The sequence below is a fragment of the Homo sapiens genome, chromosome Y, assembly GCF_000001405.40.
Source record: "Homo sapiens chromosome Y, GRCh38.p14 Primary Assembly".
NCBI lineage: Eukaryota > Metazoa > Chordata > Mammalia > Primates > Hominidae > Homo > Homo sapiens.
In genome coordinates, this window is record NC_000024.10 from 5,026,908 (window position 1) to 5,054,436 (window position 27,529).

The window sequence follows — 27,529 nt, forward strand, 5'->3', positions numbered from 1 at the left end:
AAACATATTCACAATAGTGTTTATCAGTTTCATGTATTTAGAGTAGTTTCACACTAAAATGAGTGATTAGGCTGGGCACGGTGGCTCATACCTGTAATCTTCGTACTTTGGGAGGCCAAAGCAGGGGGCTTGCTTGAGCTCAGGAGTTCCAGACCAGCCTGGGGAACATAGTGAGACCCTGTCTCTACAAAAAACATTTTTTTTAAAAAAATTAGCTCCTCACAGTGACACGTGCACCTATAATTCCAGCTACAGGGGAAACTGAAGTGGGAGTATGACTTGAGCTGAGGAGTTAGAGGCTTCAGTGAGCCATGGTGGCACCACTGCACTCTATCCTGGGTGGCAGAGTGAGAGCCTGTTGCAAATTAAAATAAGTTATTAGGACAAAAAAGATATAGGGCAAAATAAATAGAATGCTTACCCACCTCAAATAAAAAGAAAATAATATTTGTTAATATGAAGGTGATACTGGATAAGTGAAGTGCCTAGGACTTTTTTCTTAAATAATCTAGTATATTTTATGTGAATAAGGGACTATAAAGTAGGGAGATCAGCAGGACTGTAAAAGTGGGTGTGGGAGAAGAAAGTTTGCTAGTCAAACTTGATTTAAATTGACTGCCTTTGTAATAGCATGTGGCTGAATGTTTTGATCTATTTATAATGAATATTTTAAGGATTTGCTAATTTTTGAAAATTGGCAAGAAATACTCATTTTTTTCCTGCCAAAAATAAAACTTGCTAGAATAAAAAAAAATGAAAGTGAAGGAATGTCTTGTGTGTGCTAAAACACCTCCACTTAAAGAGTTTGATATCCACTAGAAAATGTTGTTTCTTTAAAAAGGGGATAAAGGGCATTTGATGCTTCTCACCTTTCACAGTTGTGACAATTCTCTTAGACATCTTAAATTCTCTAAGTGGAGATTTCTTATATTCTTCACAGTACACCTGTTTAAAAATTGTAGTCCACAGAAATCTGAAACTACAAAAGAAACTTTTCTCAAGATGATAACTCTCAAGGAGTGTAAATTACAGTTACTTCATTTGTGGGAGTTTTCCTATCACTTTTCAATTAATAAGACACCCTGGTTATGGGAATTTTAGTCTCACTGAAAAACTCAATTGTTCTATGCAAATTAAATTTGCGTATGCAAGTTACAATTTGAGTTTAAGCTTAGGCCTACGATGATGGAGGGATAACAGGCAAACTGGAATGTGGTACTTGACCATACTTAGTCAGTGCAGGAAAAACAACAAAAAAATCTTCAGAAACTTTCTTACCATTGACAGGGGCTAGTGTCGATATTCCTTGTGGTTTTCCCTTATTGACTGTATCTACACCATCACATAGCAAAATGTACACAACAGCAGAAAGTAGACATTTTACTCATAGTTTCTGCAAAATCTGAATAAAGATAAAGTTTTTCTACCACAAATAATTCCAAAGATGTGGTCTTATAGATGTATGCATTCTAAGGATCAGGGAAAGGCGGTGAAATAAAACTCTAAGTTGAACAAAATTCAAGTAGTTTATCTTTTAACAGAAATATCTCCATAAACCATATTGATATAAAGGTGAACAGGGGTTGGACACAGTGGCTGAAAGCCCATAATTCCAGTGTTTTGGGAGGCCAAAATGGGAGGATGGCTTGAGAATAGGAGTTGGAGACCAGCCTGGGCAACATAGAAAGACCTCATCTCTACAAAAAAAAAAAAAAAATAGCCAGGTCTGTTCATGTGTGCCTGTAGTCCTAGCTATTTGGGAGGCTGAGGTAGGAGGATTGGTCAAGCCCAGGAGTTGGAGGCTGTAGTGAGCTATGATCGTGCCACTGCACTTCAACCGGGGTGACAAAGCGAAAACCGTGTCTCTAAAAAAATTAAAAATAAATAGAGGTCAACAGGAAGAATCAATAACTAAGGCAGCAACTGGAATTGACAAATTAATATCAATAAGCTTGAATCAACTAATGAGGATGGTTTTGTGTGTGTGTGTCTGTGGGGGGGAGACAGAGAGAGAGAGAGAAATATTGGTGAAGTAGTATTTTAATTCACCCACCAACATTCTATTGGGTGGCCAAATTCATAGAGGTATTTTATTAGAATCAGAAATTTCAGAATTTTAGAATCTATATGTTAGCAAACTGTGTATTCATAGGTTCAAAAGAGGTTCACGACCTCTTGTTCCTCATAAATCATTCTAGGAGGAAAAAAATACTAACATAGCTGTAGCCCCTAAGTCATGAAGTGCATCTGACTGGTTCACAAAATGTTAAATATAAAGGATTACAGCTTTTCAATTAAAAATTTTTTATGATAAACATTAATGGGAAAAAACACTTATTTCAATAAAATTTATGGAATTCATTATTACTTTCAAAGAAATAACACCCTTATCTGTTAGCTCTGTCGATCCAGGGATGAAGGTTCAGCTAGAAAAATAACTTTAACCCATTATTGGACTGGTCTTTATTAAAGGCAGAGATATAACCCTAACTATCTCCCACTCTTCTGATTATGTATTTGTATTAAATACCTGATTATTTATTTAAAATTTATTTACTCAAACTATGGAAACATTATTCAATTCTTCCTTTCTTTGCAAAGAAAGATTTTCTGGTCAAAATAATAAACGTTAATCCACAGAGGCAAAGCAAAAATAACAAAGATCTCTGTAGATAATATTAACTTTTATTCAAATTTCACAGTTGTTAATAAATGTATATTCAAAAGGAATGTGTGGCTGGGTGCAGTGGCTCATGCTTGTAATCCCAGCACTTTGGGAGGCCAAGGCGGGCAAATCATGAGGTCAGGAGTTCGAGACCAGCCTGGCCAACACGGTGAAACCCTGTCTCAACTAAAAATACAAAAATTAGCTGGGCATGGTGACGGGTGCCTGTAATCCAAGCTACTCAGGAGGCTGAGGCAGGACAATTGCTTGAACCCGGGAGACGGAAGTTGCAGTGAGCCGAGATCATGCCACTGCACTCCAGCCTGGGCGACAGAGCTAGACTCTGTCTCAAAAAAAAAAAAAAAAAAAAGAGAGGAATGTGTGATGGATCTGGGCATTGATAAATCTATCACTAAGGTTCTATATTTATGGCATTTGATTAGCTATCCACATCACATTATGAGGCTATCTACTTTCTCAAAGTATTTTGATCTTTGCTTCTAGATTAATAAAAAATGTAATAGTGGCTGAAGTATTTAAGGCACTCCCCTGGGACATGAAAAAAAATAATAAAATTTAGGTTATCTGGCACTGCCCAAATAATTGTATACAGAAAGTAAGAGAAAATTCATGTATGTTTGTGTTTATCTGCACTTACGGTAGTTGTTCTAAACTTTAGTCTTTAAATATAGAAGCCAATATGGAAGGTTAAATAGATGATTAATGCTCATCCTTTATTAGAAGTCTCTTTAAGCATATCTTATTTCCACGTTGATCATATTTATCTTTAGTAAAATTATAATTAACGTATAAGGTTTGTTTAATGGCTACAATTTCAGCTCATTTGTAATTAAAGTTTATCGCAAATAACTTTTATAATTAAGTAACTTATAAAATCTCAGATTAAAGTAAATTATATTACTTAGTCTCAACATTTTCTTATAAAACATATTCTTCTTCTGTCTTTGCCTTATCTGTTCTTGGCACTAACTTCTTCAGTCATTCACACTTCAAAAGCTTTGGACTATTTCCTCTTCCTTATACCCACATTGCAGATTAAACTTTAGACTTTTTTATCTTGCAATCTCTTTCTCTCCCAATCTTTCTTCCTACATCTTCCAGCTATTTATCAAAAACATTTAAAGAGCTACTTCTTTCATGAACCTCTTCTTAATTCCGTTACCTCAAAGTATTCACATTCTTCGGTACTATCATATCACTTTGCTCTGTCCTTTGTCACTTAGCCTATTTAGTATAATAATTATCATCTACAAATCTTGTATTATCTCCCCCACTACATAAACTTAACATGTGCTTTATACACAGAGGGTGCTTAAAAAGTACAGATCAACTGGATGGATGAATGGATGGAAGAGGATGGAATATCTTAACAAAACACATTTTCCTTAAGTAAATTCATGCATACTCCAAATAAAATACAGAATGTGAAGTATCTCTGAACTGTGCTGTTGAATATGGTAGCTACTAGCTACATGTGAGTATTTAAATTTTAATTTATTAAATTAAATTAAGAATTTAATTCCTCAGTCGCACTAGCCACATTTCAAGTGGTTAATAGGCACAAGCGGCTACCATATTGGACCATGCAGATTATTTTAATAAAATATTTTTATCATTGCAGAAAGTTCTATTGGATAGTACTGCTCTAGAAATTTCTGCTGGAGGAATGGATGAGAGAAACACGTCTATGGAATTCGAGGGAGATCATAATAACGAATAATAAGGCATAGGATTACCACTTCCCATATAAAAAGTATGATTCATAGCCATTTATAATACAAGCAATTACCCCTCAAAGTTGAAGATTTATATTAGTATCATTATTATCACTTTTCATTTAATCCATAATTTTTGCAACATCGATAATATAAAACTCAAAATAATTCATGTAGGTAGGAAGATGTCATATTTTCCACATAAATATGCATTAAATGCTTTAACAAATCTGGCTTAATTAGAATAAGAATACAACAGACTAGGCTGGCTTTTCAAAAATTTTAATAGCTTATTCCCTGTTAAAGCTAAGAAATACCTTCCAGTATACCCTACCTCCCAAAGTATCAGGGATTTTTTGTTTTTTAATCCAAGAGAGATTTATGAGATCATAAAACACAATCTTTATGTTCTTTGCTTCCCTTTTCCCAAAATCTAAAATTATTCAGAAATATTTAACCTTTTCTTGATTTGTAGCCGTTACAGCTAATTGGAGGATCCTGCCATAAAATGATGGCCCTCTGTCATGTGTTGCCTACTTGTTTAATTTAGATTTATGGTTTCTTGAAAGCCAATTGAAAGTGTTTGACCCCTCATAGGAAAATCCTGTTGTGAATAAGAAGGATTCCACAGATCACATACCAGAGCGGTTTTGCCTCAGCTGCTCTCAACTTTGTAATCTTGTGAAGAAGCTGACAAGCTTGGGTGAGACAATGTTTTGCTATCCTCCTTAAAGAATTAGAAATTCCCGCATAAGAGAGTATGAATTGATAACAAGAGGCATTATAGCTAAGATCAGGTTCATAACTGACAAAGTTGAAATAGATATGTAGGTAATCAAGCATTTTTAGTGATGTATATTATGTGATTGCCGTTCAAGGCAGGCATAACTATTTTCCTCAGTCAGGAAATAAATACCACTAGCCAATGGGGCTAGGATCACACCTATTCCATATAAATAAAACTTTGAATCTATCCTGTCTACTGTTTGATAAGCCTATGCAGATTATCAATTTTATGTGTTAGGCTTATAAAACTGTTATAATGATCCAAGGAATAATAGCAGCTGGTGGGGAGGGTGTTTTTATTTAAGCTTTCATTAGCAGACAAATAAGGATAGCAGAGAGTTCACTCCAGTTTTAATTCAAAAAGTATTTTGTGCCTACATTTCAGAATCCTGGATGATTTGCTGCTAACAGCACTCTGAGGTCCTGCCATGGAACCTCCTATCTAGTGCAGCATTTGGGTTATTGAAGCCCTATCTTTTCAGTGCATCTATTTCATTTAAGTTTAAACTGATTACAATGTACTGGAGGCAAAGACCTTTTTCTTCCCCTCCCTCTTTTTATCCCCCACTCAACAGCTGATTGCAGTGCACTATGAGGACTGAATGACAGTGGGTTTTAATTCAGATATTTCAAGGTGAGTTTCATATATATTAAATATCATATACGTCTCCTTTCCTCTGGGTCTTTTCAGGAGTAGTAATTTTATCTGAACTCCAATTTTTCATGTTTGAGGCTTTCATTTTCTTAAAAGATTTGTTTTGAGTTTAAAATGTTAACAGTGAGATTGGATGAGAGGAAGGGGAAGTCTATATTCCAATATACTGATATCATGTAGGGAGAGATGTAAAACAACAACAACAAAAATCCCACAAATTATAGTAAGCATAATTTACCTAGATTGGCCTGGATGGCCACACATGTTGTCCGTGGATTGACAATTTCTAAAGAATTGACAGTTTACTGACGGTAAGCAATGAAGTTGTAAAGGCCCCTCTGGATCGTGCAAAGATGTCTTTAGGACCATGAGTTATCAGTGTACTGAAAAATTCCAGAAGTGCCTATTTTCAGAACAAATACTTGTTCTGAATACTACAAGCACCCTAGGTAGAGAGACTGTTCTTCCTCAGTTTTGCATTTCCAATGCGTGGTGTACAGAACATACTTTACAAATAGACACCAAACTAACAAACAAGAGAGTATTCTAATGAATAAATATATAGACTTTATTGCACTTGTAGGAATATGATTTGATTTAATAAACTAATAGGCTATCCCCCCAAATCTCCATTTAGATGAATAAAAAATGTTTAGGATTCTATTTAATTAAACCAAATTTAGAAGTAGTGTTCAGTTTCTTGCTTGGGAGGTTTTGATTTATTCAAAAATCATTTAAGTTTGTCCACTTAGTGATTAGCGTGTACTCCAGTGCACCCCCACAACCTTGTCACAATACTCCAATAATGTAATACGCTTAAAAATAATATATTTAAATTATTTGTCACAAATACTCATTCTCAGTTTCTCTTGTCCATGTGGCAGAAGATACTGAAATATGTTCCCCTTGACATTGCTCAAAGAAGAAATCTCTTAAAAGTTCTAATCACTGTTAAATTTCTCAGACATTTTAAGCTTTAGAGAAGAAAGGATTTAAACAACTTTTTACATGATTCTTTTTCTTGTTCCCTTCTATTCCCTCCATTACTCCTCTGTCACTTCCATCATTCTCTCCAAGTATATAAATCCACTCTTTATGGTGCCTGGGACCTCCCAGATCCAGTAAATCTTCCCATCCCCTCCCTGTACCTTTCATTCCTTCAAGTTTTCCGTTCATTGAAGTCACTCTCAGTTCTGTTAGTTTTCCCAGATTTCTCCCTGTTCTCTTTGTGTGTCTATAATTCTTCCAAGTCTCTACCCAGTTTTTAAGTTCTCCATCTTTGTTGTCACCATAGTTTTCCCCAGTTAAGTTTTCATAACAGCTTGTTGCTCAGACTCTATGAGTACTTCTTATTTTGTTAGTTCGTCTCAATGCTCAAAATCATTCCTTCCCTCTCAATCATCCCTTTTCTCTCTTTAACACCTTCATCCTTTCCATGTTTTCTCTGCAGTCTTTTCCATATCCTCTGCCCCTACCAGTTTCCCCTTGTGCCTCACAGTTCTTCCCAAATTATTCAAGTCCCTTGCAGGTAGTTGGAATATAATTCATCACATTATTTCCATATTTAGGAACAGCTTAAATTTACAAACTGCCATGAATAAAACAGTCTGTAGCTTAATCATTGACAGTTTAATATAATCTTATTCTTTATTGTGGCATTATATATACACCACATTTTATAGACCTGTTATTTGTACCAGGTTTGGTTTTAAGATAACTTGAGATAGTAGAGGGGAGATACAAAAAATTAACATTCAGGTAGTAAAGCCAAATTAGGCCAAGGTGAAAATTTCTTATTCAACAAGACATTCAGCCCATTCAGTTCAAAACAATATTCTGTGTACTTTTTAAGGAGTGGAAGAAAAATAGACGAGTAATGGAATATGCTAGTTGAATATTGATGAGATTTGTTTCCATTTTAAAGTTAAAAAAAACCAAAACTGATTGCTCTAAGACTTTTTCTTGCTGACTGCCATCACCTCAGTTGTCATATTTTAACCACAAATCCCGTAAGCACTTACATTTAACCTTATCGTTACTCTTATGCTTATTCAAATTTTCCCCATGTGATGCTAATCTGAAAATTTCTTAGAGGAAATGAGTTTTGAATTGCTCTGAAGTAGATGATGACCTTTGATGACCAGAGAAGATGTGGAAAATATTATGGCTAGAGAGTAGATGTTGGCTCGGCTGAAGAGGAGAGGTCATGGATTATAAATTAAAGAGAAAGATATTTCTTAGAAGCAGCTAATTGAGGACCTTGAATGCTAGGCCTCGGAGTTTAGATTCTATAGATTTCGAGAGGTAATAAACATAGTTTTTTTGCTTTCAGTTTTTGTTGTTGTTGTTATCGGTTTGGTTTGGTTGTTATATATAATGTTTATCAAAATAATGAATACTTATTTTTCAACACCATAAAAACGTGGAAGTAGACCACAAAAAAAGTACTGGTTGGATAGATAATATATTTGGAAATGCTTTGTTTTAAAAAAAAAACCTTTTCTTCTGAATAAAAATAGAGAGGAGAAGCAGTTCTTACGTGAAATCTCTCTTTAACAGTTCCTCTTGAAAATTAGCAGCTGTACTTAGTGAAAAATTATGAAGGTGCAATGTTGTTGTCAGCTGTAACAGGTTTTAATTATCTTTTTTATTTTAAAGTCATCAAATTTAGAGATGTCAAATTTTTATTATTTTCAGGACAAAATCATGATGCCATAGTTCACATATTTTAGTTGCAAATACTGTTTCAAAATGCACTTGATTTTGTGAGGTGTTTGCTTTAATATTTTCAACACGTGCTGGATTACAGAGTTTCAAGATATATTGCACGTATCCAATTAAAATAACTCCCCACTTTCCCTAATTTATACTTGTTCTTTAAAAATTTAAATATTAATTAAGATCTTCTAATAAGTTAACATGTTCCCTGTTTTATCAAAAACATTCATTGTTCAGTTTAAGCATTTGAAAACCAATCATAATAATATCTATAGATAAATGTCACTGGGATGTGTCTTTCTCAAAAATGTTATGAAGGGTTATAAAATTTTGAAAAAAAAATTTTATTACCAAAATATTACCAAACATACCTTGAAAGTTGAATATAATCATTCCTCTTTTAAAATAAGCTTTTTAATCTAAATTACATGAAAAAAAATTTGTTGCCAAGCTGGGAACAATTATAAAATCACTAACTACCTAAAACAGAGCACACAGTCTTTAAACCTTATAAACATAATTTTAAATCTGAAGATTATATGAAATATTCATTTGATGAAAAGACATTTTGACTTCGCATGTGGAATTGTGATGTAAGATCTTTTAAAGCTGTAGCATTGCTCATAATTGAGATCCATTATGCAAATGATTATGTATTTATGATTAAACCTTCTTTCAATCACAGATGGCTAGAACAAGAAAAGATCTTAGAGATAAATCCCAACGCTACTCACCCTCAGTGAGTAAAATGAGGCACAGAATGACTAAATGACTTGTCCAAAGTCACAGATACCTAAAGGCATAGTTAATACTAGAATTCAAGTCCAGTTAGTTTTTCCCACAGGATTAGACTTGTCTTTGTGAGTGCAGGATATACAAATACCTTTGTTTATTATTTTTTTTAGTTTATAATAACAATATCAACAATTACAAACACATGTAACATTAATGTTCCAGGAACTGTTCTAAGTATTTTACATATATTAACTCATTTAGTGCACAATAACACTATAAGGTAGACACAATTGTTAACCCTGTTTTACACAAAGATACAGAGAATTTAAATAACTTGCATAAAGTCACACAGCTAGTGAGTGGTGGATCTTGGATTTATTATAAAACAAGACCGTCTAGCTCCATAGCTCATGCTAGGACTTCTTTAAAAAATTTAAATTTTTTAATGCCAGGATAGTTTATATTTGGATATAATAACATTTTATGACTTTACTTTTTCAGTAGGGTATAAAAACATTTTTTAGTATTGGAAATTAATGACTGTCTCAATTTCCATAACATATACATTTTGCAATAGCTTTAAATGAATTGTCTTGCTACAATGGATGTGAAGCCCTGAATGAATGGTTTATCTGAAATCATCAATATTGTTCATTAAGACAATTGCAAAAAAATGATCTCTATGGAGTCTTTCGTTCATTCTATGTATGAAAAAATTTTTCATTTATTTTTAAAACTAGAAAATCAAACCAAAAGTATATTTAAATAATGTCTCTATGAAATGTCTTCTGTGAGAATGGTAAAATGAGCTATCAACTAATTATTTTTTCATATACTTGGTAATGACTATGTGAACAAAATTGATTTTGCATTTTCTCATTAATGTGGCACACAACACAGAAATAAAAGTCCTATTTTTTTCTAGCTTGTTTTAGTCTGTGGGCTTAATTGCTAGTTTGAAAGTAATATTAGGTAATATCTTACTCTGTAAGAAAGCATATTTTGACATGTTGACGTGTTAATATATTGACACATGGGAAAGGAATAAGTAAATGTAAATGAAAACTAATTAAGCAACATTATATAGTGGATATGGGAAAGGTAAAAAAGTATCCCAGCACTTTGGGAGGCCAAGGTGGGTGGATCACCTGAGGTCAGGAGTTTGAGACCAGCCTGGCCAACATGGTGAAGCCCCGTCTCTACCAAAAATACAAAAATTAGCTGGGCGTGATGGTGGGTGCCTGTAATCCCAGCTACTTGGTAGGCTGAGGCAGGAGAATCACTTGAACCCGGGAGGCGGAGGTTGCAGTGAGCCAAGATTTCACCACTGCACTCCAGCCTGGGTAATAGAGCGAGACTCAGTCCCCACCCCCCACCAAAAAAAAATCTCCAATACGCAAAATGCCTATATAAGTTTGTTTTATGTATAATTATGTAATAAATTCTGAAAATTATCATAAAATTAAAATATTAGAATATGAGATCTTCCATACATTGCCCCAATTTGTTTATTCCGTTCAAATAGAATGGAAAGACAAATTAAAATGGAGAAGGGCTGACTCGTAAGAAATAGCAATGAATTCCTTTTCTTTTCATTTTTTAGGGAAGAAAGGGATTGGGAACAAGACTATATGTTGTATAGGGAACATTGAAGGATTCTATTTCCATTTCAGTGCTTAATGGCTTTTACTAGTTATTTAACTTTTTTCTCTACGTTTTTAAAACTCTCAAGAGTCTGTGGCTTCATTAAATATTATTTCTTTATAAAACATATATGATAATACGAAAAGTGTTAAATCGGTGGTATTCATTAAGACTGTATCCAGCACTGTGGAGAACTTGGAGGTCAAGGGAAAGTCTGCACAAAAGTAGAAATATGAGGAAATTTGTGTGTGTTAGCCAATGTATATTAGTGCTCTGAGCATATATTTAAGGAAGGATGAGGCAATGTGGACTGAGGGACATTGGAGATGGATTAAGAGTGAAAGGGTAATTAGCTATGTTAGAAAACAGTGGCTTGCATTGCATGATTCTGTATCACAGGTACTTATTTATAGTGTGCATGCATTTCTGATATTGCATAAAGCAAGACAGTGATGAAGTTACATAGTTGTCTATTAGGATATTTGCCCTATACCCTTCAGTTTTCTGTTTGAGGTTTTTGAAGGATTCATGATTTCTATCATGCATCATATTCTTCATACTATCTGTATAAGGATTATGATGGTGATAAATGAGAAGAACATGGTGAGTATTCCAAACTCCTATCGACCCTACCCAATATACTAAAGATTATCAAGTGGAGAGTTATTTTGGTGTATTACCACTTCATAATTTTTATGTCTCAGATACAGTAAATTTATTTATATAGATATCACATAGGTTTTATTGGGATCATATAATGTTTTATGAAATAATTCTATTTTAAGATGCTATTTACTCATAACTATAAAACTGTGCATTTTTGTTCTCTCAGAGGATCTGGAACAGTGTGATTTCTAACTTAAAATGAGGGGAGATTTGATTGTTTCTTCTTGAGTTAACAAGTTACCAATATCTTAAAAATATTCACTGCCTAATAGTTTCAAAATTTAGAATCATAAAATACTACTCATTCCTAAATGATTCAAGAATACATTTTACTGTACTATTTAATTTTATACCTTTTTTGTCCCCTGCCTATGAATTGGATATTCTAGCCATCATTTCACTGTCCTGGGTGCAGGCATAGTTGAAGGTTACTGACCTTCTGATCTAGATTAGTACCGTCCAACAGAACTTTCTGTCATAATAGAAATATTCTATAATCTGTGCTGTCCAGTGCTTAAGTCCTTAGCCTTATTGGACAATTGAACACTTAAAATGTGCTTAGTACAACTAAGGGATTGAATTTTTAATCTGACTTAAATTTAATTTTAACAGCTACACACAGCAAGAGGTACTATATTGGACTGCACAGCTCTAGATGCTTATAGTCTAAATATAACTATTGTATGGAAAAGAGAGTTCTTTTTTCAAGGCATAATCAATCACCTTTGTTTCTAATTTTGTTCTTGTGCTATCTATAAATCAAGTCCTGATGCAAAGTAATTTCATCATGAAGAGCAATGGTCTTTATTTTCCAGGGTTGTCAGGTTATATAAAGAATTAATGTACCCTGTGATCACAATTTCCTAGAGTGAGTGCCAGTTTTAGCAAGTGTAAAATAGTTGTGTTTGTTGTAGCTTCTTCTATGATATCTATTAAGGAGTTGGATATCTCTGAAAAGGAAATATAAAATATTTCAGCATTTCTAATATTTTCTGGAATAGGAAAATATTTTACATTTATCAGCTATAAAGAAATTATAATTTAAAATGAAATACTGGCCATTTTCACATATTTTGTACTCTGTGACAAACTGAAATCATTACAGAGTATGTTATAATTCTAAAAACCAAAAAGTCTCCCAAGTAATTGGAGCCTCTAGTACCTAATCAAAAGAATGGTGCCTTTATTTTCTTTTTTCGTAATCTCTTTTTCTAAACCAATGTGAGATCAAATTACGTTTTTTATAAGCAGTGCAATAGCTAAATAAAAATAACAATAACCGCAAATGCATGAAGAATTTTTTTTTTATCTGAATGTATTACTCACTTAAAACTGCATTGGTGGACTGGGCACGATGGCTCACGCCTGTAATCCCAGCACTTTGGGAGGCTGAGGCCAGTGGATCATGAGGTCAGGAGATCAAAACCATCCTGGCTAACATGGTGAAACCCCATCTCTACTAAAAAAAAATACAAAAAATTAGCCGGGCATGGTGGCACACGCCTGTAGTCCCAGATACTCGGGAGGCTGAGGCAGGAGAATCTCTTGAACCTGGGAGGTTGCAGTGAGCCAAAATCGCACCACTGCACTCCAGCCTGCGCGACAGAGTGAGACTCCATCTCAAAAAAAAAAAAAAAAAGTATTGGCATGGAACACAATGAAACTTCTATTTTGGGGCTGCCTTAATGTGAGATTAACCCTGATCACACCACTTGCATTTCAACTATTGTTTAGTATGATGGCATTTCAATTGGCAGTTTTCCTTACAGTGATCTGTCTACACATGCACGCACATAAATGCACACAAGGGCATATGTTCACAGTGAAACACAAAGATTATTATTTTAAACATATAAATAAAGCATCTCATGAATATTTCTCAGTTACAAGTTGGCTAGTGTTTGTTGGTCCAGCAAGCAATACTGCATCCAACTCTGTAGAGGCAGAACTTGTATATTCTTGATTTCCCATTTGATGGTTACTTAGAATTGTTTTGAGGTTAATGCACTTCTTGATTTATAAATAAAACGGGGGTTGCATTTCATTCTTCTTCCAATATACTATTATATTACCCCTTTGAAGGCTTGTTCTTTACTTGTGGTGAGAAGGCATGGAATATGCTGAATGAAGGCTAATGATAAATCATTTTTCATTTCTTAATGAGTTGGAGTGGGGTTTGTGGTTGTCCTAAGTGAGAAACAGAAAAAAAAATTTAAAGAAGAGGAATCTAAAAATATTGTGAAAACATGTAGGATTAGTTAAATTAATTTAAATATTTTACTTACTAATAGTTTGAAAAACTGATTTCCTAAGAACCACTTAGTATAATTTGTAGTGAAAATAACTACAGGTGAAGGTCATGCATAAAATATACTCTTACCAGAAAACTTTAGGTTTTTGAATAAAATGGAATTCATAAAATAATGAACACTCCAAGTTATTATAAATCACTCCGATTATTTCTTGAAGTCTTTGCTGGTTGTTGTAGTGATATATTCTTGGAGGAAAAGGTTTAAAACAAAAGAATTGGTGACCCGAATCTCCAGCAAGCATCTTTTTTTTTTTTCCTTTCTTTTTTTCATTTTTATTTTTATTTTTATTTTTTATTATTATACTTTAAGTTTTAGGGTACATGTGCACATTGTGCAGGTTAGTTACATACGTATACATGTGCCATGCTGGTGCGCTGCACCCACTAACTCGTCATCTACCATTAGGTATATCTCCCAATGCTATCCCTCACCCCTCCCCCCACCCCACAACAGTCCCCAGAGTGTGATGTTCCCCTTCCTGTGTCCATGTGATCTCATTGTTCAGTTCCCACCTATGAGTGAGAATATGTGGTGTTTGGTTTTTTGTTCTTGCGATAGTTTACTGAGAATGATGATTTCCAATTTCATCCATGTCCCTACAAAGGACATGAACTCATCATATTTTATGGCTGCATAGTATTCCATGGTGTATATGTGCCACATTTTCTTAATCCAGTCTATCATTGTTGGACATTTGGGTTGGTTCCAAGTCTTTGCTATTGTGAGTAATGCCGCAATAAACATACGTGTGCATGTGTCTTTATAGCAGGATGATTTACAGTCCTTTGGGTATATACCCAGTAATGGGATGGCTGGGACAAATGGTATTTCTAGTTCTAGATCCCTGAGGAATGGCCACACTGACTTCCACAATGGTTGAACTAGTTTACAGTCCCACCAACAGTGTAAAAGTGTTCCTATTTCTCCACATCCTCTCCAGCACCTGTTGTTTCCTGACTTTTTAATGATTGCCATTCTAACTGGTATGAGATAGTATCTCATTGTGGTTTTGATTTGCATTTCTCTGATGGCCAGTGATGATGAGCATTTTTTCATGTGTTTTTTGGCTGCATAAATGTCTTCTTTTGAGAAGTGTCTGTTCATGTCCTTTGCCCACTTTTTGATGGGGTTGTTTGTTTTCTTCTTGTAAATTTGTTTGAGTTCATCGTAGATTCTGGATATTAGCCCTTTGTCAGATGAGTAGGTTGCGAAAATTTTCTCCCATTTTGTAGGTTGCCTGTTCACTCTGATGGTAGTCTCTTTTGCTGTGCAGAAGCACTTTAGTTTAATTAGATCCCATTTGTCAATTTTGTCTTTTGTTGCCATTGCTTTTGGTGTTTTAGACATGAAGTCCTTGCCCATGCCTATGTCCTGAATGGTATTGCCTAGGTTTTCTTCTAGGGTTTTTATGGTTTTAGGTCTAACGTTTAAGTCTTTAATCCATCTTGAATTGATTTTTGTATAAGGTGTAAGGAAGGGATCCAGTTTCAGCTTTCTACATATGGCTAGCCAGTTTTCCCAGCACCATTTATTAGATAGGGAATCCTTTCCCCATTGCTTGTTTTTCTCAGGTTTGTCAAAGATCAGATAGTTGTAGATATGCGGCGTTATTTCTGAGGGCTCTGTTCTGTTCCATTGATCTATATCTCTGTTTTGGTACCAGTACCATGCTGTTTTGGTTACTGTAGCCTTGTAGTATAGTCTGAATTCAGGTAGTGTGATGCCTCCAGCTTTGTTCTTTTGGCTTAGGATTGACTTGGCGATGCGGGCTCTTTTTTGGTTCCATATGAACTTTAAAGTAGTTTTTTCCAATTCTGTGAAGAAAGTCATTGGTAGCTTGATGGGGATGGCATTGAATCTGTAAATTACCTTGGGCAGTATGGCCATTTTCACGATATTGATTCTTCCTACCCATGAGCATGGAATGTTCTTCCATTTGTTTGTATCCTCTTTTATTTCCTTGAGCAGTGGTTTGTAGTTCTCCTTGAAGAGGTCCTTCACATCCCTTGTAAGTTGGATTCCTAGGTATTTTATTCTCTGTGAAGCAATTGTGAATGGGAGTTCACTCATGATTTGGCTCTCTGTTTGTCTGTTGTTGGTGTATAAGAATGCTTGTGATTTTTGTACATTGATTTCGTATCCTGAGACTTTGCTGAAGTTGTTTATCAGCTGAAGGAGATTTTGGGCTGAGACAATGGGGTTTTCTAGATATACAATCATGTCATCTGCAAACAGGGACAATTTGACTTCCTCTTTTCCTAATTGAATACCCTTTATTTCCTTCTCCTGCCTAATTGCCCTGGCCAGAACTTCCAACACTATGTTGAATAGGAGTGGTGAGAGAGGGCATCCATGTCTTGTGCCCGTTTTCAAAGGGAATGCTTCCAGTTTTTGCCCATTCAGTATGATATTGGCTATGGGTTTGTCATAGATAGCTCTTATTATTTTGAGATACGTCCCATTAATAACTAATTTATTGAGAGTTTTTAGCATGAAGGGTTGTTGAATTTTGTCAAAGGCCTTTTCTGCATCTATTGAGATAATCATGTGGTTTTTGTCTTTGGATCTGTTTATATGCTGGATTACATTTATTGATTTGCGTATATTGAACCAGCCTTGCATCCTAGGGATGAAGCCCACTTGATCATGGTGGATAAGCTTTTTGATGTGCTGCTGGATTTGTTTTGCCAGTATTTTATTGAGGATTTTTGCGTCAATGTTCATCAAGGATATTGGTCTAAAATTCTCTTTTTTGGTTGTGTCTCTGCCCGGCTTTGGTATCAGGATGATGCTGGCCTCATAAAATGAGTTAGGGAGGATTCCCTCTTTTTCTATTGATTGGAATAGTTTCAGAAGGAATGGTATCAGTTCCTCCTTGTACCTCTGGTAGAATTCGGCTGTGAATCCATCTGGTCCTGGACTCTTTTTGGTTGGTAAGCTATTGATTATTGCCACAATTTCAGATCCTGTTATTGGTCTATTCAGAGATTCAACTTCTTCCGGTTTAGTCTTGGGAGAGTGTACGTGTCAAGGAATTTATCCATTTCTTCTAGATTTTCTAGTTTATTTGCACAGAGGTGTTTATAGTATTCTCTGATGGTAGTTTGTATTTCTGTGGGATCAGTGGTGATATCCCCTTTATCATTTTTTATTGTGTGTATTTGATTCTTCTCTCTTTTTTTCTTTATTAGTCTTGCTAGCAGTCTATCAATTTTGTTGATCCTTTCAAAAAACCAGCTCCTGGATTCATTAATTTTTTGAAGGGTTTTTTGTGTCTCTATTTCCTTCAGTTCTGCTCTGATTTTAGTTATTTCTTGCCTTCTGCTAGCTTTTGAATGTGTTTGCTCTTGCTTTTCTAGTTCTTTTAATTGTGATGTTAGGGTGTCAATTTTTGATCTTTCCTGCTTTCTCTTGTGGGCATTTAGTGCTATAAATTTCCCTCTACACACTGCTTTGAATGCGTCCCAGAGATTCTGGTACGTTGTGTCTTTGTTCTCGTTAGTTTCAAAGAACATCTTTATTTCTGCCTTCATTTCGTTATGTACCCAGTAGTCATTCAGGAGCAGGTTGTTCAGTTTCCATGTAGTTGAGCGGTTTTGAGTGAGTTTCTTAATCCTGAGTTCCAGTTTGATTGCACTGTGGTCTCAGAGATAGTTTGTTATAATTTGTGTTCTTTTACATTTGCTGAGGAGAGCTTTACTTCCAAGTATGTGGTCAATTTTGGAATAGGTGTGGTGTGGTGCTGAAAAAAATGTATATTCTATTGATTTGGGGTGGAGAGTTCTGTAGATGTCTATTAGGTCCGCTTGGTGCAGAGCTGAGTTCAATTCCTTGGTATCCTTGTTGACTTTCTGTCTAGTTGATCTGTCTAATGTTGACAGTGGGGTGTTAAAGTCTCCCATTATTAATGTGTGGGAGTCTAAGTCTCTTTGTAGGCCACTCAGGACTTGCTTTATGAATCTGGGTGCTCCTGTATTGGGTGCATATATATTTAAGATAGTTAGCTCTTCTTGTTGAATTGATCCCTTTACCATTATGTAATGGCCTTCTTTGTCTCTTTTGATCTTTGTTGGTTTAAAGTCTGTTTTATCAGAGACTAGGATTGCAATCCCTGCCTTTTTTTGTTTTCCATTGGCTTGGTAGATTTTCCTCTATCCTTTTATTTTGAGCCTATGTGTGTCTCTGCACCTGAGATGGGCTTCCTGAATACAGCACACTGATAGGTCTTGACTCTTTATCCAATTTGCCAGTCTGTGTCTTTTAATTGGAGCATTTAGTCCATTTACATTTAAAGTTAATAGTATTATGTGTGAATTTGATCCTGTCATTATGATGTTAGCTGGTTATTTTGCTTGTTAGTTGATGCAGTTTCTTTCTAGTCTCGATAGTCTTTACATTTTGGCATGATTTTGCAGTGGCTGGTACCGGTTGTTCCTTTCCATGTTTAGTGCTTCCTTCAGCAGCTCTTTTAGGGCAGGCCTGGTGGTGACAAAATCTCTCAGCATTTGCTTGTCTGTAAAGTATTTTATTTCTCCTTCACTTATGAAGCTTAGTTTGGCTGGATATGAAATTCTGGGTTGAAAATTCTTTCCTTTAAGAATGTTGAATATTGGCCCCCACTCTCTTCTGGCTTGTAGGGTTTCTGCCGCGAGATCTGCTGTTAGTCTGATGGGCTTCCCTATGAGGGTAACCCGACCTTTCTCTCTGGCTGCCCTTAACATTTTTTCCTTCATTTCAACTTTGATGAATCTGACAATTCTGTGTCTTGGAGTTGCTCTTCTCGAGGGGTATCTTTGTGGCGTTCTCTGTATTTCCTGAATTTGAATGTTGGCCTACCTTGCTATATTGGGGAAGTTCTCCTGGATAATATCCTGCAGAGTGTTTTCCAACTTGGTTCCATTCTCCCCATCACTTTCAGGTACATCAATCAGACGTAGATTTGGTCTTTTCACATAGTCCCATATTTCTTGGAGGCTTTGCTCGTTTCTTTTTATTCTTTTTTCTCTAAACTTCCCTTCTCACTTCATTTCATTCATTTCATCTTCCATCGCTGATACCCTTTCTTCCAGTTGATCGCATCAGCTCCTGAGGCTTCTGCGTTCTTCACGTAGTTCTCGAGCCTTGGTTTTCAGCTCCGTCAGCTCCTTTAAGCACTTCTCTGTATTGGTTATTCTAGTTATACATTCTTCTGAATTTTTTTCAAAGTTTTCAACTTCTTTGCCTTTGGTTTGAATGTCCTCCCGTAGCTCAGAGTAATTTGATCGTCTGAAGCCTTCTTCTCTCAGCTCGTCAAAGTCATTCTCTGTCCAGCTTTGTTCCGTTGCTGGTGAAGAGCTGTGTTCTTTTGGAGGAGGAGAGGTGCTCTGCTTTTTAGAATTTCCAGTTTTTCTGTTCTGTTTTTTCCCCATCTTTGTGGTTTTATCTACTTTTGGTCTTTGATGATGGTGATGTACAGATGGGTTTTTGGTGTGGATGTCCTTTCTGTTTGTTAGTTTTCCTCCTAACAGACAGGACCCTCAGCTGCAGATCTGTTGGAGTACCCTGCAGTGTGAGGTGTCAGTGTGCCCCTGCTGGGGGGTGCCTCCCAGTTAGGCTGCTCGGGGGTCAGGGGTCAGGGACCCACTTGAGGAGGCAGTCTGCGTGTTCTCAGATCTCCAGCTGCATACTGGGAGAACCACTGCTCTCTTCAAAGCTGTCAGACAGGGACATTGAAGTCTGCGGAGGTTACTGCTTTCTTTTTGTTTGTCTGTGCCCTGCCCCCAGAGGTGGAGCCTACAGAGGCAGGCAGGCCTCCTTGAGCTGTGGTGGGCTCCACCCAGTTGGAGCTTCCGGGCTGCTTTGTTTACCTAAGGAAGCCTGGGCAATGGCGGGCGCCCCTCCCCCAGCCTCGCTGCCGCCTTGCAGTTTGATCTCAGACTGCTGTGCTAGCAATCAGCGAGACTCCGTGGGCGTAGGACCCTCCGAGCCAGGTGTGGGATATAATCTCGTGGTGCGCCGTTTTTTAAGCCCGTCGGAAAAGCGCAGTATTCAGGTGGGATTGACCCGATTTTCCAGGTGCCATCCGTCACCCCTTTCTTTGATTAGGAAAGGGAACTCCCTGACCCCTTGCGCTTTCCGAGTGAGGCAGTGCCTCGCCCTGCTTCGCCTCGCGCACGGTGCGCGCACCCATTGACCTGCGCCCACTGTGTGGCACTCCCTAGTGAGATGAACCCAGTACCTCAGATGGAAATGCAGAAATCATCTGTCTTCTGCGTCGCTCACGCTGGGAGCTGTAGACCGGAGCTGTTCCTATTCGGCCATCTTGGCTCCTCCCTCCAGCAAGCATTTCTTAAGCACTTACTGTGTATTTGGTACAGTGCCCATGAACTGCTAAGTTAAATATAATGTCTTAAAATTGTTGGTATATATTTGGAATGATTCATTTGCTTTGAGTTGAGATTCATAATATAAAATATTATGGATCTATACAGTTGTTTACATTTAAAACTGATATTTATAGAGAATAAATTTTATATCTAAATTGTTATTTTTGAAGAGCTCAATCTTTGTGTATTACGTAGGGAGTTGTCTTGAGAAACGTCTAATTTTTACCGCTCATCTTTTTGCACTTTCAAATATACTAATACTTTTGAAGCAGGACCCAACAGGCCTTCTCTAAAATTAAATTTTCTCACATGTAGCAAGGTTATTTTGAATGCCCAAATTGAAGTTTAAATGGTTAATATTACATTTATATTTGGAGTTAAAATGTATTAAGACACAGTTGAAATAGTAACTCATTGTAAGTATAAAGAATATTGCTAAATAGAGAAAACATTTTCTTATGTATTTACCTAGATGAAAGAGAAAGGAAAAATTATACAAACACTAACATTTATACCTTATCTTTGTATGAACATCTTGTAAATACATTTGAATTTTCTCTTATAGATGCTATTCCTTCCTGAAAACCAGGCTGAACCCAGTACATGCTTTTATAGTGAAACTAAAGAACACACAAGAAGTAGGGTTTATTTTAACTTATAAATGCAAATTCCATTTTACTTATTTTTTAATGGGAAAAATATTTACTTTATTTCTTTAACTTTTATTTTAGGTTCAGGTATGCATGTGCGGGTTTGTTATATAGGTAAACTCATGCCACAGGAGTTTGCTATACAAATTATTTCATCACCCAGGTACTAAGACTAGTATGCAATTTTTTTTTTCTGCTCTTCTCCCTCCTCCCACGCTCCATGCTCAATTAGTCCCTAGAGTCTGTTGTTCCTTTTTTTGTGTCTATCAGTTCTCATCATTTACATCCCACTTAAAAATGAGAACATTCAATATTTGGTTTTCTGTTCCTGCATTAGTTTGCTGAGGATAATGGCCTCCAGTTCCATCCATGGTCTTGCAAAGGACATGATCTCCTTAGTTTTTATTGCTGCATAGTATTCCATGATGTATATGTACCACATTTTCTTTATTCAGTCTGTTATTGATGGACATTTAGGTTGATTCTATGTATTTACTATTGTGAATAGTGCTGCAGTGAACATTTGTGTGCATGTGTCTTTATGGTAAAATGATTTATGTTCCTCTGGGTAGTTACCCAGTAATGGGATTACTGGTCAAATGGTAGTTCTAGTTTTACCTCTTTGAGGAATCACTATGCTGCTTCCCACTATAGTTGAACTAATTTACACTCCCACCAACATTGTAAAAGTATTCTCTTTTCTCTGCAACCTCGCCAGCATATGTTATTTTTGACTTGTTAATAGTAGCCATTCTGACTAGTGTGAGATGATATCTCATTGAGATTTTGATTTGCATTTCTCTAATGATCAGTGATATTGAGCTTTTTTTCATATGCTTGCTGGCCACATGTTACTGTCTTCTTTTGAAAAGTGTCTCCTCATGTCCTTTGCCTACTTGTTCATGGGGTTGTTTTTTTCTTGTAAACTTAAGTTCCTTATAAATGCTGGATATTAGACCTTTGTCAGATGCATAGTTAGCAAATATTTTCTCCCATTCTGTAGACCGTCTGTTTACTCTATTGATGGTTTCTTTTGCTCTGCAGAAGCTCTTAAATTTAATTAGATCCCATTTGTCAATTTTGCTTTTGTTGTGATTGTTTTTGGCATGTTCATCATGAAATCTTTGCCACTTCCTTTGTCCAGGATGGAATTCCCTAGGTTGTCTTCCAAGGTTTTATAGTTTTGGGTTTTATGGATATTTAATTCATTTTGAGTTGACTTTTGTACATGGTGTAAGAAAGGGGTCCAGTTTCAATTGTCTGCACATGGCTACCCAGATGTCCCAGCCCGATTTGTTGTGTAAGGAGTCTTTTCCCTACTGCTTGTTTTCTTCAGCTTTGTGGATGATCACGTGGTTATAGGTGTGTGGCCTTTTATCTGGGCTCTCTATTCTGTTCTATTCGTCTATGTGTCTGTTTCTGCACCAGTACCGTTACTGTAGCCCTGTAGTATAGTTTGAAGTCAGGTAATGTGATGCCTCATGTTTCGTTCTTTTTGCTTAGGATTGCCTTGACTATTTGGGGTCTTTTTTTGTTCCATATGAATTTTAACATAGTTTTTTTCTACTTCTGTGAAGAGTGTCATTGGTAGTTTCATATGAATAACAATCTGTAAATTGTTTTGGGTGGTATCCCATTTTAATGATATTTATTCTTTCTATCCATGAAATAGTGTTTGATTATACTTATTAATGCAAATTCCATTTTAAAAGGCAGAATTCTTTTTTTTTTTTTTTTCTGAGATGGAGTCTCGCTCTGTCACCCAGGCTGGATTGCAGTTGAGCGATCTCAGCTCACTGCAAGCTCCGCCTCCCGGGTTCACGCCATTCTCCTGCCTCAGCCTCCCGCATAGCTGGGACTACAGGCGCCCGCCACCACGCCTGGCTAATTTTTTGTATTTTTTAGTAGAGACGGGGTTTCACCATGTTAGCCAGAATGGTCTCCATCTCCTGACCTCGTGATCCGCCCGCTTCGGCCAAAAGGCAGAATTCTTTATCATTTTTTCTACTCTAAGTGTATCACAACTGAAGATTCGAAATATGGCTTGTGTGTGTCACATTTATGGTTCAGTTGTTTTTCTATTCATTTATTAATTAATGTTGTCATTTTTAATTGGTTATCCATTTTTTTGGTTTTGAGGTGACACAAAACAAAAATCACAGAAATAATATTAAAATATGTGTAAAAAACTGAGAACTAAAAGGATAAGGAATATTGTTGAACCTTTAGGCTGAGGCATCTGTTATTAGGCAGTTGATAAACCAAGTCTTAAGATTGGTTTTAAAAGGTTGCTATGTCATTTTTCCTTAGCGTTCTAAGATGTGTAGTTACTGATTATGGATTGTGCAACTCCAAAGTCATCTTAATAGGAAGAGCTTCATTGTCTCACGGGGTGAATGAATGCAACTATTAAAGTCATTTCTCTGTTCCTTGGAACAATAAGTTGATGGATATAATTCATTTTCTGACAACTAATATCTTACCTTGATTTGTTTTACAGACCATCAACTTGGATCTTGTTTTTAGCCATCACTTCCAAGATTCTGGTGCTATATCTCATTTGCTTTCAACTGTTGATTTTACTGCATTGTAATTTGATAATTTAGACCCCAACACAAAAAATAAATTAAGTCATGCTAGAATATGCACCATACGTATATAGGGGAGTAATCTGATAAAATGCTTTGTGCAGATATTGCAATTAGTACTGAAGTTTGGGGAGGTGTGCAATCAATAGTAAAATATTAATTGGTCTTTGTACATAGATAATTTAAACACTAATATGATAGATATATTACTACCTGTTTTCCTGTACTGTTTTATTAATTCATGGAATAGTGACTAATAGAAGTATTATTTAGCCTTATATATAAAACTCATAGATATAATACTGTTTTGTGTACTGTTTTATTAATTCATGGAATAGTGACTAATAGAAGTACTACTTATCCTTATATATAAAACTCAAAATAGCCTTTTCAGCAAATACCCAGTGAAGACACAAATATATATATTACACACACACACACACACAATTATATATATATATGAAGAAACCACATTTGTTAACAAATGACTAAAATTGTCATGCCTGAACCCTCCATTATTGAACATCACCTCTCCATACCCCTTGATCTCTTTAATTTTGTGATGCTATACCACCTCCATAATTTCACCCATGAATAATAGATTCCAAGCCCATCACTTTCTGTTTCTTTCTCTTTTCTTTTGCAAACACTTTTCCTTTACACGAGGGACCTTTGGTTACCTTCTTAAAATGTGATTATCTAGAAAATTTACAGAATGTGAAATTAATGCCTATTTGATAAAAAATATTTAATATATAAAGCAATGCCTACAGATATGTATATATATCACATAGTTGTTATACAGATTAAATGAAATAACTGATTTAAAATCACATAGAGCAATTCAAATACTACACCAAGTGGAAATTATCCTTTTTGATGAATTTAGGACTTATTTATTATGATAATCTGGTACTTGTTGACAAAGTACAGTAAAATAATTATTAGATACTGAAACAAGCAATATTACATTCACCCTGAGGCAATAGAAGAATGTGTGATGATAGACAAACGTTATATTTTTGCCATGAAGAATGTGTCTCTTGCTTGATTATTCTGTAAAGCCATGTTTCAAATGTTCCCTAAATCATATATCAAAAATCCAGAAAAATTAATATAGAAGAGAAACCTTTAGAATTTGTCTTATTAAGTGCTATTTGAGCTTGATTATTATCAGATTTTGAAACCCTGTTAGAGAACACCACACTAACTGTTGTTGGAATGATAGAATGAATCAGCAAACAATAAATAATTTGGAGAAGGAAGCAGCATTGATGGAATCCACTTCTCAGAGAAGTTTAGACCCAAATGTGAAAAATTAGACATGTACAATAAGTACAGTAAGCAAGCTGTTTGTGGAATAAAATTTAACAAACCAGTTATATAATTACTGTGCCTTATTAAATTTTTTATTTTGACATCTCAAGTTTCAGAATACACAGGAAATAATTACATAAAATTGGACAGCCAATGCCCTTGCCCGCCTCTGCTTGCTGTGGTCAGTTCCTCTGAAAATACTAGGTTTATCGGTTGCTCCAATTTGTCTTTCTCCCAGTGTGGTTACTTTTATTGCAATGTTCTAGATTCCTGTCAACCTCAAGAACTACCTTATTGTTTACCCAGGCTGTGAAAGAAGCTTTGCTTGTATTTGAGACCAAGAACACAACAGTAGTGACCACCTAACATATTATGGCTGTTAAATGGTGTATTTTTGACTTAATGAAACATTGAAATAATTGGAATGATGAGATTTAAGTGGAGTTAGGATAATGGGCAGCAGATAGATATTTCTTATCTTCATGTAATACTTAAATTTGTACTATTGTAGAAATTGTACAAAAATTGTAGCATATAAACCATTCACTCATGTGTTTGTTGTTGTAGCATATGATCCAGTAATTCACATAGAATTCATTTAAATATATTACAAATGAAACCAGCACTATAATGCAGAAAAAATTTAAAAAATATCAAGGAAATTATGCCTTGAAATTCTTCTGACAAAGCATTTGAACATTAATTGTGTGGTTTGAAATTTCTAGAATTGCGTATAGTAGATGCCTAGCTCCCTTACCTACTCAGAGATGATAAAATGAACTTCCATTTTTGCTTTATATATCTTTAAATTTTCAGAGATGCTTATTTTATTTCTGCTTTTGCTTTCTCTAATTGTCATTATTGTGTCCCTCTAAATACAACTATTGCTTACCCAACCGTGATGTCTTGCTGATAAAGGGCATCACTTAAATAGCATGGGCACTACTGGAACTTGTCAAAAATTTTAGTTCTTTATATCTTCTTTTGTGTTGTTTCCTTTATCAATTTCCAAACTAACATTAATCTATAGTAGGAGTGGGTTGTAGGAGAAGGGCAAAGAAATTTAAGGTTACCTTGTCACATTTTTCATGAGACAGAAAAATTAGAATGTAATTTACATACATTAAGATACGTATGTAGGCATATTTTCCCTGGATATCTGAGTTAAATGTGCCATGCTTCCATAAGACTAAGCAGTGATTATTTATATCCATATTTAGTAGCTAAATTTCTGTACTGTTCATTCAAAGAATTAAACTCAGCATTTTCAAAGAAAACTTAATAAATTTTAAAGATAATAAATTTTCAAGTGGCAAATGTGAGAGTTGAAATCAAAATCTGGAGATTGAGGTTACTTAAACATGCATGTTCACATCCTGGTAGAAGCAGAGATGAGTTCATTATACAGTAATTGAACACTGAATTAAAGACATACTAGAATATATTATCAAATATAAACTCTGTTTTGTTCACTGATGTACCTTCAGTGTCTAGAACTGTGCTTGACATATAAAAATTGCTTAATAAGTATTTGTTGAATAAGTGGCTAAACCTCCATGAGTTCATTTCATCTCAAACTCTTTATTAACTAGAGGGTGAATATTCCTTCTAGGTTGGCAACATATATATTCACTTAAGCTTTAGAAATGGTATTTTTTCTCAATATTTCTTCCCTGTTTTTAAAACCACTGAATGAATTTCCGGTTATGAAACACATTTTAAAATGTTTTATATGATGATGGTATTGTGGAAGACAGTGTGGCAATTCCTCAAGGATCTAGAACTAGAAATACCATTTGACCCAGCCATCCCATTACTGGGTATATACCCAAAGGATTATAAATCATGCTGCTATAAAGACACACGCACATGTATGTTTATTGTGGCACTATTCACAATAGCAAAGACTTGGAACCAACCCAAATGTCCATCAATGATAGACTGGATTAAGAAAATGTGGCACATATACACTGTGGAATACTATGCAGCCATAAAAAAGGATGAGTTCATGTCCTTTTTAAGGACAAGGATGAAGCTGGAAACCATCATTCTCAGCAAACTATTGCAAGGACAGAAAACCAAACACCACATGTTCTCACTCATAGGTGGGAATTGAACAATGAGAACACTTGGACACAGGGTGGGGAACATCACACATCGGGGCCTGTTGTGGGGTGGGAGGAGGGGGGAAGGGTAGCATTAGGAGATATACCTAATGTTAAATGACGAGTTAATGGGTGCAGCACACCAACATGGCACATGTATACATATGTAACAAACCTGCATGTTGTGCACATGTACCCTAGAACTTAAAGTATAATTAAAAAAATTAAAAATAAAGATAGAGTAGAACAGATTTAGAATGGATTGAGGGAGGGTGACTTCTTGGAACTAGATCACTCTATTAATTATTTATGTTGTGTAGAGATATTGCGACATGCATGCAATGCTTTTATTTCTTTATTTTGCTTTATTTTGTTTTTCATTTTGGGCGGTTATCCCAGGAATTCAAGGTGGTTTTATCTTTTTTTTTTTTTTAATTTAACTTTTATTCTGAGTTCAGGGGTACAAGTGTAGGTTTATGTAAGTAAACCTGTGTCATGGGGGTTTGTTGTACAGATTATTTCGTCACCCAGGTATTAAGCCTAGTACCCATTAATTTTTCCTGATCCTCTCCCTCCTCCCATCTTCC

At 35.5% G+C, this 27,529-nt stretch overlaps 1 protein-coding gene across 6 annotated transcripts in view; it reads left to right on the forward strand.

The window, feature by feature from the left end:
* Window positions 1-27,529, forward strand: part of PCDH11Y (protocadherin 11 Y-linked) — a 741,933-nt gene that overhangs the window by 26,612 nt on the left and 687,792 nt on the right. For 2 of the 6 annotated variants that reach the window (XM_017030079.2, XM_017030080.2), the window contains 4 exons: window positions 3,992-4,160; window positions 4,308-4,439; window positions 4,999-5,104; window positions 5,763-5,821. The exons of 1 other annotated variant lie outside the window; for it this stretch is intronic. In XM_017030079.2, the coding sequence (XP_016885568.1) occupies window positions 5,790-5,821 (32 nt within the window). In that variant the 5' untranslated portion in view covers window positions 3,992-4,160; window positions 4,308-4,439; window positions 4,999-5,104; window positions 5,763-5,789. The remainder of the gene's footprint in view (window positions 1-3,991; window positions 4,161-4,307; window positions 4,440-4,998; window positions 5,105-5,762; window positions 5,822-27,529) is intronic. 3 more of the 6 variants (XM_017030081.2, NM_032971.3, NM_001278619.2) reach the window with 2 other exon arrangements.